At 38.2% G+C, this 13,762-nt stretch overlaps 1 protein-coding gene and 1 pseudogene across 7 annotated transcripts in view; one reads left to right on the top strand and one right to left on the bottom strand.

Moving 5' to 3' along the window:
• The window catches only part of TRIM33 (tripartite motif containing 33), a 118,414-nt gene that overhangs the window by 36,983 nt on the left and 67,669 nt on the right, over positions 1 to 13,762 (top strand). For all 7 annotated transcript variants that reach the window (NM_033020.3, NM_015906.4, XM_047422512.1 and 4 more), the window contains exons 2-4: positions 9,833 to 9,951; positions 10,665 to 10,809; positions 10,985 to 11,117. In NM_033020.3, the coding sequence (NP_148980.2) occupies positions 9,833 to 9,951; positions 10,665 to 10,809; positions 10,985 to 11,117 (397 nt within the window). The remainder of the gene's footprint in view (positions 1 to 9,832; positions 9,952 to 10,664; positions 10,810 to 10,984; positions 11,118 to 13,762) is intronic.
• On the bottom strand, positions 4,655 to 6,016 carry EIF2S2P5 (eukaryotic translation initiation factor 2 subunit 2 beta pseudogene 5; annotated as a pseudogene).

The raw sequence follows: 13,762 nt of genomic DNA, 5'->3' as shown, positions 1-13,762 counted from the left end.
TGATTTACGGTGTGTTTCTGGGCTGGGGGCAGTGACTTATGCCTGTAATCCCAGCACTTTGGGAGGTTGAAGCGGGAGGATTGCTTGAGGCTGGGAGATTGAGACCCGCCTGGGTGATATAGTGAGACCCTATCTCTACAAAAAATTTAAGCAAACTAACCGAGTGTGATGGTGTATGCCCGTAGTCCTAACTACTTGGGAGGCTGATGCAGGAGGACTGCTTAAGCCCAGGAGGTTGAGGCTGCAGTGAGCGCCACTGCACTCCAGTCTGGGCTACAGAGACTATATCTGGAAAAATTAAAGTGTGTCTCTGGTAAACAGTATATAGCAGTATATAGTTAATTTTATCTGCTCTTTATTTTCATTGGGGTATTTAATTCATTCTCATTTACTATCATTATTGTTATGGTTAGATCTACGTTGATTGCTTTGCTCTTTGTTTTCTGTATAGCTCATGTATTTATTGTTGTTCATTGGTTCCTCCTTATGTTAGATATGAGTTCTAAATTTCTCTTCAAAGAATCAATGTCAGTGTGTTCAATTCTTTGCCTTCTACTTCTAAACTTCCTCATAAAGCAATCTTTTTCGATCACATGCTCCACCCTGACTCATTCCAATTACCTGCTCCACACTGACTCATTCCGATTACCTGCTCTGCCCTGACTCATTCTCCACCCTGATTCATTCCGATTTCCTGCTCTGCCATAACCATTTTTCCTGCCAAACCACTCACCCCGTCACTCTCTTTAAAGTAGCCAATCGGAATTAGTTTAGCCTGTGTGGTCTAACCCTCACCAATAGGGGAACAACACAGCAGCAGGGGCCATGTGCGTCAGGAATAAGAACCCCTTCCCCTCCCTTGTCCAGGTGTGCGTTCACCATTGCTCCATCTGTGAGGGCGCATCCTTCTATAAAAATAAATTGCCTTGCTGAGGAAAAAAAATGAATTTTTTTTTTTTTTTTTGAGACAGAGTCTCGCTCTGGCACCCAGGCTGGAGTATAGTGGCATGATCTCGGCTCACTGCAAGCTCCGCCTCCCGAGTTCACACCATTCTCCTGCCTCAGCCTCCTGAGTAGCTGGGACTACAGGCGCCTGAAACCACACCCAGCCAATTTTTTTGTATTTTTAGTAGAGACGGGGTTTCACCATGTTAGCCAGGATGGTCTCTATCTCTTGACCTCATGATTTGCCCGCCTCGGCCTCCAAAAAAAGAACATTTTATATTTGAGTGCTATTTCTTTTGCGGCACCAAAACTTTATAACACACTGCCTTCTGAATTTTTTTTTTTGTTTCTGCTCAGCTCATTGTTAATCATATTGTTCCCATGTATGTCATGAGTTATTTTTCTCCTAGTCTTTTCAAAATTTTCTTGTCTTTGACTTTTAACAGTTTAATTGTAACAGTGTATATCTTTAAAGTTAAATTCATGCTTGTGAATTTTTATAAGAGCCACAAAGGCCTTCCTCTGTGTTTTGTTTTTGTTTTTGTTTTTGTTTTCATTTTTGAGACAGGCTCTCACTGTCCCCCAGTGGCCCAATCACTGCTCACTGCAGCTTGACCTCACACCCTCAGGTGATCCTCCCACCTCAGCCTCCTGAGTAGCTGGGATTACAGGCAGGTACCACCATGCCTGGCTAATTTTTATTTTTGTAGAGACAGGGTCTTGCCATGTTGCCCAGGCTGATCTCAAACTCCTAGACTGAAGCGATCTGCCCGCCTCTGGCTCCCAAAATGTTGGGATTACAGGCGTGAGCCACAGCATCTGGCCACTTCTGTATTTTGTTTTCAATCACTTTATTATGAAATGAGATACACTGTTATAAAGTATTTTCTATTTTGATAATTCTTAAAAATTCCACTTGAAAAATTTTCTGCTTGAATCACAGTATTGTTCCTTAATTAGCAATTATTTCACTTTGGGGAACTGGTCATTTTTAAAATTTTATTTCTTAGAGTTATTTGGATTATGCTCATATATGTTGTCATTAAAATATTTAATTTTGGAATTTAAGAAAATTGCAGCCAGGTTACATGATTAATGTGGACATAGGAAAACAAAATATTTATGTTTCTAAGTTTAAAAATTTTATTCATATATTCAGTGTTTGGGATGCATAAGTGTTCACATTTTAGGAAGGCAAGATGGTACTTAAATTTCCAGCATGGTCTGTGGTCGTACCCTATAATCAAATGCCTTAATATTTCTGCAGCAGTATTTACACTAAATAGCGTAACTAAAGATATATATAGCTTTATGACAGTTCAGGTCAGGTTTTTTTCACTAAATGTGTTTTGTAGCTAAACATACAATAATTTTCTGTATTTCAAAAACTGGATAAGGAAATGTGAGCTTGACAACCATTCAATTTTTTATAAAATAACATGTTTTCCATTTTTGTTTTACCTTTTGTTTGTGGCTACTATCCTGCATAAATTGCATAATTTGTTTTGACAATTTGTGGACTGTGTCCTTCATTGTTGTACAGTATTCCCACTATTCCTATTTAATGCTTTTTTAACTTTTACTTAGGTTTATCTAATGCTAATATTCTTCCTGTTTGTTTTTGTTTTACCTTTTTGTTTTGTTTTGTTTTTTGCAGTTGCTGCTGTATGTTTGTTTATCCTTTTCTTTTTCAATAGGTATGTCTTGAAGTTTCATTAGTAGCAGACTACTAATTTGCTTCTCAGGATTGCCATTTTTCAGGTCTTCTAATTTTTTAATATGGAAATTGTGTTTATTTAAATTTAGCAGGGCACTTCTTTTTTTTTTTTTTTGAGACAGAATCTTGCTTGCTCTGTCGCCAGGCTGGAGTGCAGTGGCATGATCTTGGCTCACTGCAGTCTCCGCCTCCTGGGTTCAAGCAGTTCTCCTGCCTCAGCCTCCCGAGTAGCTGGGACTAGAGGTGCACGCCACCACACCCAGCTAACTTTTGTATTTTTAGTAGAGTTTGACCATATTGGCCAGGATGGTCTTGATCTCTTGACTTCGCCATCCGCCCACCTCGGCCTTCCAAATCGCTGGAATTACAGGTGGGAGCCACCATGCCCAGTCTGATTTGCTTTCTTATCATTCATATGCTCACTGGACTGTCACTTTTAATTTCCTTCAAGAACTTTGCAGGCCAGGCGCAGTGGCTCATGTCTGTAGTCCCAACACTTTGAGAGGCCTATGCGGGAGGATTGCTTGGGCCCAGGAGTTCGAGACCAGCCTGGACAACAATATGAGACCCTGTCTTTACAAAAAATCAAAAAATTAGTTGGGCATGGTGGCATGAGCCTGTGGTCCCCACTGCATGGGAGGCTGAGGTAGGAATCACTTGAGCCCAGGAAGTCGAAGCTTCAGCGAGCAGTGTTCATGCCATTGCACTCCAGCCTGGGCCATAGAGCAAGACCCTATCTCAAACAAAACAAAACACAAAACTTTTCCTTTGCATTCACAACTAGGCTAACTGGCGCAAGAGGCCTAGCATTGGCCTGTCTTGGCTTTTGATATGCCTTCTCACTAAGCTTAACAATTTCTAGCTTTTTAAAATTTAATGTAGGAGATGTTTGACTTGTTGTTGTTGTTGTTGTTGTTGTTATTGACCAAGTCATGCTGAATCGATTCTTCTTTTCAGTTGGACACTTTGAGGCCATTGCAGGGTTATTTATTGGCCTAATTTCAATATTGTTTGGTCTCAGGCATTAGGGTGGCCTGAGAAAGGGAGAGAGACAGGGAGTGGCCAGTCAGTGAAGCAGTCAGAATACATTTATTGATTAAGTTTGCTGTTTTCATTGGGCGCAGTTTGTGGGGCCTCAAAACAATTACAGTAGTAACATGAAAGATCAGAACTCACAGGTCACCATAATAGATAAATAATAATTTATAAGTTAGGAATATTGCAAAAATTAACAAAATGTAACAGAAAGACGCACAGTGAGCACACATTGTGGGAAAAATGGCGTCTACTAATTTGGTTAATGCAGGGTTGCCACAAACCTTCAATTTATAAAAGCTCAGCATCTGTGAAGCAGTATAAAGCTAAATGCAGTAAAACAAGATATTCCTGTATAACTTCAAGAATATAAGAAGCCCTAAGAATACCAACAAGCTTTATGATAATAGATATTAGTTATACTTAGTTTATTATAAGATATTAGTGTTCTTCGTATATGATTGTATGTGCACATATGTGGCCATATATGACTATGACTTCACCTTAAGCCAGCTTCATTCTTAAGTGATAAAATTAACTTTGGAAATACTTACTGACATTATCTAAATATATGTTACTCTATGATATTATTTTATAGGATTTAAGCCATTTTTATTATAAATTATTTCAGTTACTTTCTGTATCATATCTCCAAGTTTTCCCTGTATAAAGCAGCATTCTTCTTTATTCTCCCTCTATTGACAGGTCATTTTGTCTCTTTTCTTCATTGCCAAGTTTTTTGTAAGAGTGGGCAACATATTCAGCATTTCACATCTTCAGTTCCCCACGCTCATGCTAATGTCTGTCTGCCGCTACCTCCATTGCTATAAAATTTCTTTAGTAAAGATCAGTGACCTGTTGCTCCAGAACATAATTATTGTTTTTTTGCCATCATTCCTTTTTGGCAAATACATATTGCTTTCTAGGTCTCTATTTTTTAAATTTGATTTTCTTGCTCTGTTATAAGAACTAAATTATCTTACAGATGCCAGTGAACAATTTTGAAAAACACTTCCTTACCCCATATCACATCTCTCTGACAGAGAGAGAAGAGGCCATGATTATGTCAACAGTTTGAACAGCGGCATCTTGCAAGAATTTCAGACCAACTGACCACTCATCAAAGAACTTGGCAGCTTTTTAATCTTGTTTTTTTAATACAACAGTATATCCATTCTGATGACAAACCTGTCCCGCCAAATCTCCACAACACACGTTGTAAAATCAGTGATTAGCAAATTAGTCAGCTTTGGCACGGAGCTGTGCTTGCTTGCCCATGACAGTCTGGAAACTGGTTTTGTACTTGCAACAGATTATCAACAATAAGTTGCTCACTGTAAGAAGTAGAGTTGAGTCTCTTCTGCAGGTGTGTGTCCAGTGATCAGCATGTGTGAAAAGTATTCCTTAATATATCTTCTGAAGACTTTTTCTGTTTCTGTTGGAATCTTCTTTGATTACAAATTGGTTATTACCATCTATAGAACCACTTGTACCCAGTTCAGCCAACAAAAATGCAAGATGTTTGGGCTGATGATGTAATAGTTTACAAATATCTGTAAAGTTGACAAAATAAGTTTTCTTGGTTCCTACTCAAATGACCTGTAGAGGTTTGATGACAGATTTCCTTTTCAGCAACCACATCTGGATTCTTTTCCCTCGTGATGTTGCACACTCGCTTCAGTAGCTCCTTATGTGTATTTGAGACTGCCCTAGCAGGGCCTGTATGATTATTGAATGAGATACTGTCATCTTTTTTGCTGTCTTCATCTTCTAGAACTTTGTCTTTCTCTAGTATTTCATCCTCATCTGGGAACTTGACATTCTTCTTTTTCTTCTTTTTATTGCCAAGCATAATATTAAGGTCATACTCTGGTTCAGCTGGTTCTTGAATATTTTTTCAATCTTAAGATCCTTTACACCTTCTTCAGCTTCATCAGTATCAAACATCTTTTTTGTTTTTTTCTTTTCTTTTCTTTTGATTAAAGAAGTTCAAGTCATCTAGATCATCAGAAGCACCTTTTTCCCTACTGTTCTCTTCATCAGCTTCCAATTCTTTGTCCCCAGTTGGCTCTGGCGCCACTTGTTTTGTTTCTAAGGGCTGGGTCTCCTCTGTTTGGGTATCCCCTTCCTCCTCTAACTAAAGGACTGCTGCTGCTGATTTTACTTCTTGGTCATAGTAGGATCAAAAATCATCTCATCCCCAGACATGGCTGCAGCTCGAATGGGCTAGGCACAGACAGGAAGTCAGACAAATCAGCCCTAGCCCCCAGCAGCAGCGCTGCTCCTGCTGTTACCTCTCACACCACTGCACTCTCTAGCCCCTTATTAATGTGTGCACATAGGGTGGGAATAGAGATGAATAAGAGATAGGTGCATGGTGGAGAGAGGAACTAGACTTAGGCATGGTTATACTTCTCCAGTTTGAGGTTTCTGGCACGACTTGACAATCTTTTTCCATCCAGCTTCTTTTTCCTATTCTTTGGATAATTCATTCCAGTCTTTCAACACTTAACTCACAGGACTCTCTTATCATTTGGACTGGGCTCTGACTTAAGTAATTAGAGGCTGTAGGTATAAATTCTCTCAACTCCCCTCTCTATCTGAAAATATATCTGTAATTTTTCATTATTTTCTAAGGGAAAGGAGAGTGGTGTTGATGACCAAAGCTTTGGTGTGACTGCTTGAGAATATTGGAAAGAGAAGCTAGGGCTAAATGAAAAGATTGTTAGGTCATGCTAAGAGTCAGCTGACTTTAAGCGCATTATGTAATTTTAAAAGTAAATTGGTACAGTGGTAACAAGTTAATCATAAATGGTTAATGGAAAAGTAGTTGATCCTTGTTTGACTTGTGTTTGTTTCAGTTACACAGACAGGTATGTATTTGTGTCCTGGCCTTTGATGTAAAGTGTACTTCCTGTGGTTTGCAGTTGAAAATGTTTGAAAGCTGTCTCCTAAATTTGAGAGCTCTGTTTCTTCTGCTTGACTTGTAAATATTGGTGTAACAAGGGTTATTGTCCTTGATAATATTCTTCCTCAGCAGTCATAACTACATTTCACATTTGAGTTATTTACATGCTGGTAGCTCCCTCCACACCCTTCAGCTCCAGAAATATGCTAGTTAAACACCATCTATCCAAAACTTACTCATTACATTTCTGGCTAAAACACTTTTTCCTCATTTTGAGTAGTTATGTAATTATCTATGCATTACCCACACCAGGAACTTGGGAATCATCTAGAATTTCTAATTTGTTTCCTCATTGTAACTCTTAGTACTCCTTCATCATACAGTCATTTATTAAGTCCAATTGATACTCTGATTTATCCTCTACATTTCCTTTAATACTGCCTTAGTTTAGTCTCTTTTGTTACTGATAGACCAGCGTTTTAATTAGAGAAATAGTTTAGCATAGTTCTTAAGAGCATGAGCTGTAGACACAGACATGTTAGTTGAATTCAGATCTTGGCATTTACGTCACCACATGACCTTCAGAATGTTTCTTAATCTCTCCGAACCTCAATTTTTTCACCTTTAATGTGGGGATAGTAATAGAACCTACTTTACAGGGCTGCTATGAGGACTAAATACACTTATACATATAAACTTCTTGAAGAGTTAACTGATCTGGCGGGGTGCGGTGGCTCACGCCTGTAATCCGAGCAGTTTGGGAGGCCAAGGCGAGCAGATCGGTCACCTGAGGTCAGGAGTTCGACGCCAGCCTGACTAACATGGAGAAACCCTAATTTAGTTGAAAGATACAGATTAAAATCAGCAAAGAGAAAAGGTGCATGGTGCAAAGCCCAAGAGAAAGCAGACCCATGCTTTCAGATGTCCCCAGCAACAATGTGGGACAATACACTGGGAGTATTGCCAAGTAGGGAATCTCACCTGAGCCTTGGTGTCTAAGTTTTGGAGATCAGTCTCATTGCCACGCAGCCCCCACAGGACTGGTAATCAGCTACTTGGACACCAGTGCACCCAGAGGTCAAACACGGTATGGCTTAAAGCCTCAGGTATACAAAAGTACTCTTACCAGGCAGAATTTTCCACGGGCTCAGAGGTCATCTCCCAGGAACGTGTAAAGGGCCAGTCCTGAAGATAGGCCTTTCTTAAGAAGGAATGTGCAGCATTTGAGCAACCCAGGCCTGCCAAATAAACCCTTTCTTGCACACTAGTATAGTCACGTTCATTCTTCAAGACCCTATTAGAAGTGTTATCTTTTTGGTGAAAATTTAACTGATTTACTCTAAGAAGAGTTAGTTGCTCTCATATCTTTGTCTCTACAGTTACTTATACTTATCTTCTTTGTAGTTTTATATAATACACTTTCTCAAGAGGTTTTTAAGTCATGCTTTCCCAAATGTGAAAATATTTTTCCTTTTCCCCTTTCTCTTCACTTTACTATTTCTCCCTTTGGTTTGAAAAATTGTTTTTGTGTGTTTCCTTTTACCAAGATCTTTTTATTTATTTATTTTTTTTTTTGAGACCGAGTCTCTCTGTCGCCCAAGCTGGAGTGCAGTGGCGCGATCTCAGCTCACTGCAACCCCCACCTCCCGGGTTCAAGCGATTCTCCTATCTCGCCCTCCTGAGTAGCTGGGAATACAGGCGCGTGCCACCACACCCGGCTGACTTTTTTTTAATTTTTAGTAGAGACGGGGTTTCACCATGTTAGCCAGGATAGTCTCCATCTCCTGACCTCGTGATCCGCCCGCCTCGGCCTCCCAAAGTGCTGGGATTACAGGCGTGAGCCACCGCGCCCGGCTCTTTTTATTTATTTTTATACCATGTTTTTGGTAAAATAAAGAGGAAATATTAATAAGAACAGTATTTTGTTTTAAATATATAACAGTAGTTATTTTTTAATTTTAATTATTTTATTTTAAAATTAGAGATGGCGTCTCACTATGTTGTCCAGGCTGGCCTCAAACTCCTGGGCTCAAGTGATCATTCCACTCCCAAAGTGTTGGGATTACAGGCATGAGCCACCTCACCCTTCTTTTAGAGTGATAAGTTTTATTTATGTTTTCATTTTCCATCAGAATGACTATATATGGTACTACAGTTTGTGTACTACACAACTCATGGGGACTTGGTTTATATCCCAGTCTTTGGTGCTTTCTGTAATTGTGTACATTATAAACTATAAAAATTACATACTAATCTAGAATCCTTCTTGAAGGTGTGGATTGTGTCATTTATGCTGTATCCTCTATTTCATGGCTGACATGTAGTCAGTTTGTTGTGTTGACTCTGGTGCTATTTTCAGTTATTTAGCCTCTATGTGTTACCTCAACAGTTTATCCATTCTGATAAGTCCTGGAACACTAGCAGGTGAAGGGACAGATGATCTTTCTTCTCATATTAGCATGTATTCAAGTATCTCTAACCAAGTCAGAATTTATAAGATGATAGATTGTATATTAGTTTTCTGTTGCTGCTGTAACAAAATTACCACAAACTTAGTGTCTTAAAACAGCACCTGTCTTACTGTTTTACCATTATGGAGGCCAGCAGTTTGAAATCCCTTTCACTGGGCTAAAGTCAAAAGTGGTGGCAGGACTGGTCCTTCTGGTGGCTCTGGGAGAAAATCCATTTCCTTGTCTCTTTCAGCTTCTAGTGGTTGCCTGTCTTTCTTTTCTCCGGCTTCTTCCTTCATCTATAAAGTGCATCACTCTACTCCCTGCGTCCATTGTTATTATAATTGCCTTCCACTCTTCTGTAGTCTTACCTTCCTCTTCCTCCCCCTGATAAGGTCACTTGATCACGTTTAGGACCCGCTGGACAAACCATCTCCAGAGCCTTAATCGCATCTGTAAAGTCCCTTTTACCATGTAAATTAATATTCATAGTTTCCGAAGATCAGGATCTGGATTTCTTTTGGGGCAATTATTCAGCTAACCACATATTATAATGAGGAAGCACTTCTTGGGAGGCATCATAATGCTTGTTTTTTCTTTTCCTAAATAGAGTATCACTTTTACCCAAATGGAATAACTCGCTGGGTTATTTTACTGAGCTCTTGATGCTCATTTCTTTGGTCTTCTCTGTGATGAATTAATGTTTCTATATGGACATCATGCACAATTTCTTTATTCCTGAAGAATATTTTAAAATGTTGTTATTTTATGTTGTAGTTGGTGTAATACGGTGCCCAGTATGCCGCCAAGAATGCAGACAGATAGACCTTGTGGATAATTATTTTGTGAAAGACACATCTGAAGCTCCTAGCAGTTCTGATGAAAAATCAGAACAGGTATGCTTCTCAATTTTTCTTTATATTCCTATCTTGATATCAAACTGTAAGTTATAAGAAAAACATGTTTGGATAGTTAAGTCATTTAGGGTGGTTCTGCTATGGATTCCTGTTTCAAATAGAAAGTTAAAGATAGCTTTCTTATATACTCTCAAACTTAGTTAAATGAGACTAAAGCTATTACTTAAAATGTCAAATTTGGGCCAGGCATGGTGGCTCACGCCTGTTGTCGCAGCACTTAGGGAGGCTGAGGTGTGAGGATTGCTTGAGCCCCGGAGTTCGAGACCAGCTTGGGCAACATAGTGAGACTCCATCTCTACAAAAAATAAAAGTACTAGCCGGGCGTGGTGGCATGCGCCTTTAGTCCCAGCTACTTGGGAGGCTGAGGTTGGAGGATTGCTTGAGCCCAGGAAGTTGAGGCTGTAGTGAGCCGTGATTGCACTACTGCTGTCCAGCCTGGGTGACAGAGCGAGAGCCTGTCTCAAAAAAAAAAAAAAAAAAAGTCAAATCTGCACAGACTTCGTGTTCTCAGCCTTAGATTTTTACCTACATGAATGATCTGTAAGGAAAAGGATTTTGTTGAAGATAAATGGATAACAAAATAATTTTATTCTGTGTACAGTGAAATAGTATATTGAAGAACAAGTTTTTTTTTTTTTTTAGATCTAGATTTTATGTATTTAATTTAGATTAGTGCTTATTTCTTCTTTTAGGTATGTACTAGTTGTGAAGACAATGCAAGTGCAGTTGGCTTTTGTGTAGAATGTGGAGAGTGGCTATGTAAGACATGTATCGAAGCACATCAAAGAGTAAAATTTACTAAAGATCACTTGATCAGGAAGAAAGAAGATGTCTCAGGTAAGATAGATGCATTGTAATCATTACAATGATTACAGTTAACCTCCTTCTTTTGCCCCTATAGAATTTTCTACTTATTCTTTATAAACTTTGGATAGCAACATCAATAGGAATTTAGAAAACTAGACAAAAATTTTATGTTTGGTTAAAAAATATTTGTTTTATTTTGCTACAGAGTCTGTTGGAGCATCTGGTCAACGCCCTGTTTTCTGCCCTGTACACAAACAAGAACAGTTGAAACTTTTCTGTGAAACATGTGATAGATTGACATGTAGAGACTGTCAGCTATTGGAACACAAAGAACATAGGTACAGAAATCATAATTGCTTACCAGGAAATACTATAAAAAGTGCTTGTAAAGTCATTCTTCTTCTTAAAGCAAATATTGATTATATGTTTGTGTCTTAATCTTTTAAATCTGTATTTTACATATTTTAATTTCTTGAGCAATATATGTTTTGGTAAATTATTTAAAGATTTCCACATTTAAATCTAATTGTCTTATGAATGTTTGTTAAAATGTATCATTTTGTAGGTTTGGGTTTACAAGAATGGAGTTATATTATGCATTTGTTTGCTACTCCTGTGATTCAAATAAGCTTTTTCTTGGTGTCCTATAGTATTTTTGGCTGTAATCTACAAAAGCAGTATTCTTTTAAACATCAAATCACAAATACACTGATTTCATGTTACATATAAAATTTGTAGAAAAGCTAGGGATTTATGAACAACTAAGCAGAGTTACTGACCCTCTAATACATACCTTTGTATTTTAGCCTTGTACCCTCAGAATTCAGTAGTATTCATTTACTAGGAGTGTGTTTCATATGAACGGTTTGGAAACTGTACAAAAATTTCTAGTCAGTTGTGTAACAATATCCTTCAGTAAATTTCTCCAGCTTCCATGGCATCTGTTTATTACAAGTAAAAAGATGGTGTCACCCATAGTCCAGAATTTTCCAAAGTGTTTTTCAAACAACAGTTTTTATGGCTGGATGGGAATAGATTTTATTAATCTATTGCCAAAAATGTATAAGAGAACTTGGGTTAACCACACTTAAATGTGTTTCTTAACGATATGATTTCTTAGGGTTTTTAATTCATTAGAATTCATTGAAGTTTATTAGAGCCTTCTTAAAGAGGGGATACAGTAATCCCAATTGCCAACCATTATTGCAGCCTTACTTTGTGCCAGGTACTTTTCTGAGTGCTGAATATGTATTTAATTCACACCAACTATCCATGAGGTTTAGGTACTAGTATTATGACGGTTTTAAGTGTAAGAGAGCCTACTCACAAAAGGCTGTAGTAATCTGTACAAAGTCTCATAGTAATTGGTAGTACCAGGATTTGAATACAGGTAGTCAGACTCCAGATCTCTTCTTAACCCATATGCTCATTTTCTTCCATAGGGTATAGAGAATATAGAATGCAGAATGTCTCAAATTTGACTATATAAAGGTGTAGTGCTTTTTGTTCTTTTTCAAGGTATCTCTCACAGCTTTACAGTATATTTATTAAATTTTTGTGCTCTTAATTTGTTCAGAAATGTCTTAACCTATAACTTGGCTGAAATTTTAGATTGTCTGCTAACAGTCTCAGTAAGACATTAGATTACCTTTTTCACAGCTGCAGTCAGATCTTTTTTTGAGTGTTAGATTTCTTATAGCTTTTTAAGTTGATGGTGAGAGGCAAAAAGAAAAGGAAGATGTCATACTTTTCCTCATTAAAGAATAGCTTCAGCGGCATTGCCACCTCAAAGTTTAACCATTATCCTTCCCTTTCTTTTACCATTTTCCTTTACCACTTATATCTAAGTCCTTATTATCTCTTGTATAATTTAAAAAAAATGTTTTTTTTCTCCTCCTATACTCACACAACACAGAGCACTTCTGTGACCATGTGTGTGACCAGTTTCCCCTCATATTGACTGATTCTCGCCAGCTTGGTGTCCAGAAATTCAGTTCAGTTCTGTCGCCGTCTACCTGGAGTTAGAGTCAGGTCCCACAAGTTAAGGGCTCAGTCCTGCAAACTGCCATTCCACTTCAAATACCAGTCGTTAAGTCCCACCTTCTGGTACTTAAAATATATATATATAAAATATAAAATATAATATATAAATATATAATAATAATAAATATATAATATATATAAAATATAAAATATAAATATATGTATATATATATATATATATATTTTTAAAGACAGGTTCTTGCTCTGTCACCCAGGCTGGAATGCAGTGGCATGATCATAGCTCACTGCAGCCTCAAACTCCTGGCCTGAGGCTGTCCTCCCTCCTCAGCCTCCCAAAGTGCTGGGATTACAGATGTGAGCCACTGAGCTTGGCCCCGGCCTCTGGTATTCTGACTGACTTACTATAAATTGGGGGTGGGGCGGGGCGGTTCCCACGACCCCTTCCTTGAGTTTGGTCATTTGCTGGAATGGGTCACAGAACTCAGGGAAGCATTTAACTTACTACTGCCAATTTATTACAAATTACAGCAATTACGACAATTTAAAGATCTTAATTGGTTTTATTTGTGATTTTAGATTTGAGCAATACTTCATTCCATAAAATAAAACAAGTGTTTCAGTGAACTGAGCAGAGGAGCTTGGTTTTATAGAGAGAGAGGGACTGAGGAAAGCAAAAACAAATAATAAAAAGTGGATTGGTCATTTCAAAGTTACTTTCCTAGTAAGGCTGGAGAAGGGCAGAACAATAGAGAAATAATTTATTGGCTAACATCAGGTTACCTCAGGTTACCCTTTGTTGTAAGGATTAAAGACATCAGCACCGTAGGAGAGGTTTACCAAAAAAAAAAAAAAAAAAAAAAAAAAGGTGGCGGGGGGTGTTAAACACAGGGAGCCTCATTATCATGCCAATTGAAACAGGCTTATTTGGGAAATTAGGGTGTTATCTCTCTCCTCATTTCTTGGATGGTCTGATAACTCA

This window comes from Homo sapiens, chromosome 1, assembly GCF_000001405.40.
Source record: "Homo sapiens chromosome 1, GRCh38.p14 Primary Assembly".
In the NCBI taxonomy this organism is placed as follows: Eukaryota; Metazoa; Chordata; class Mammalia; order Primates; family Hominidae; genus Homo; species Homo sapiens.
Note: the sequence above shows the minus strand (reverse complement) of the source record. Positions and strands in the feature narration are given on the sequence as shown.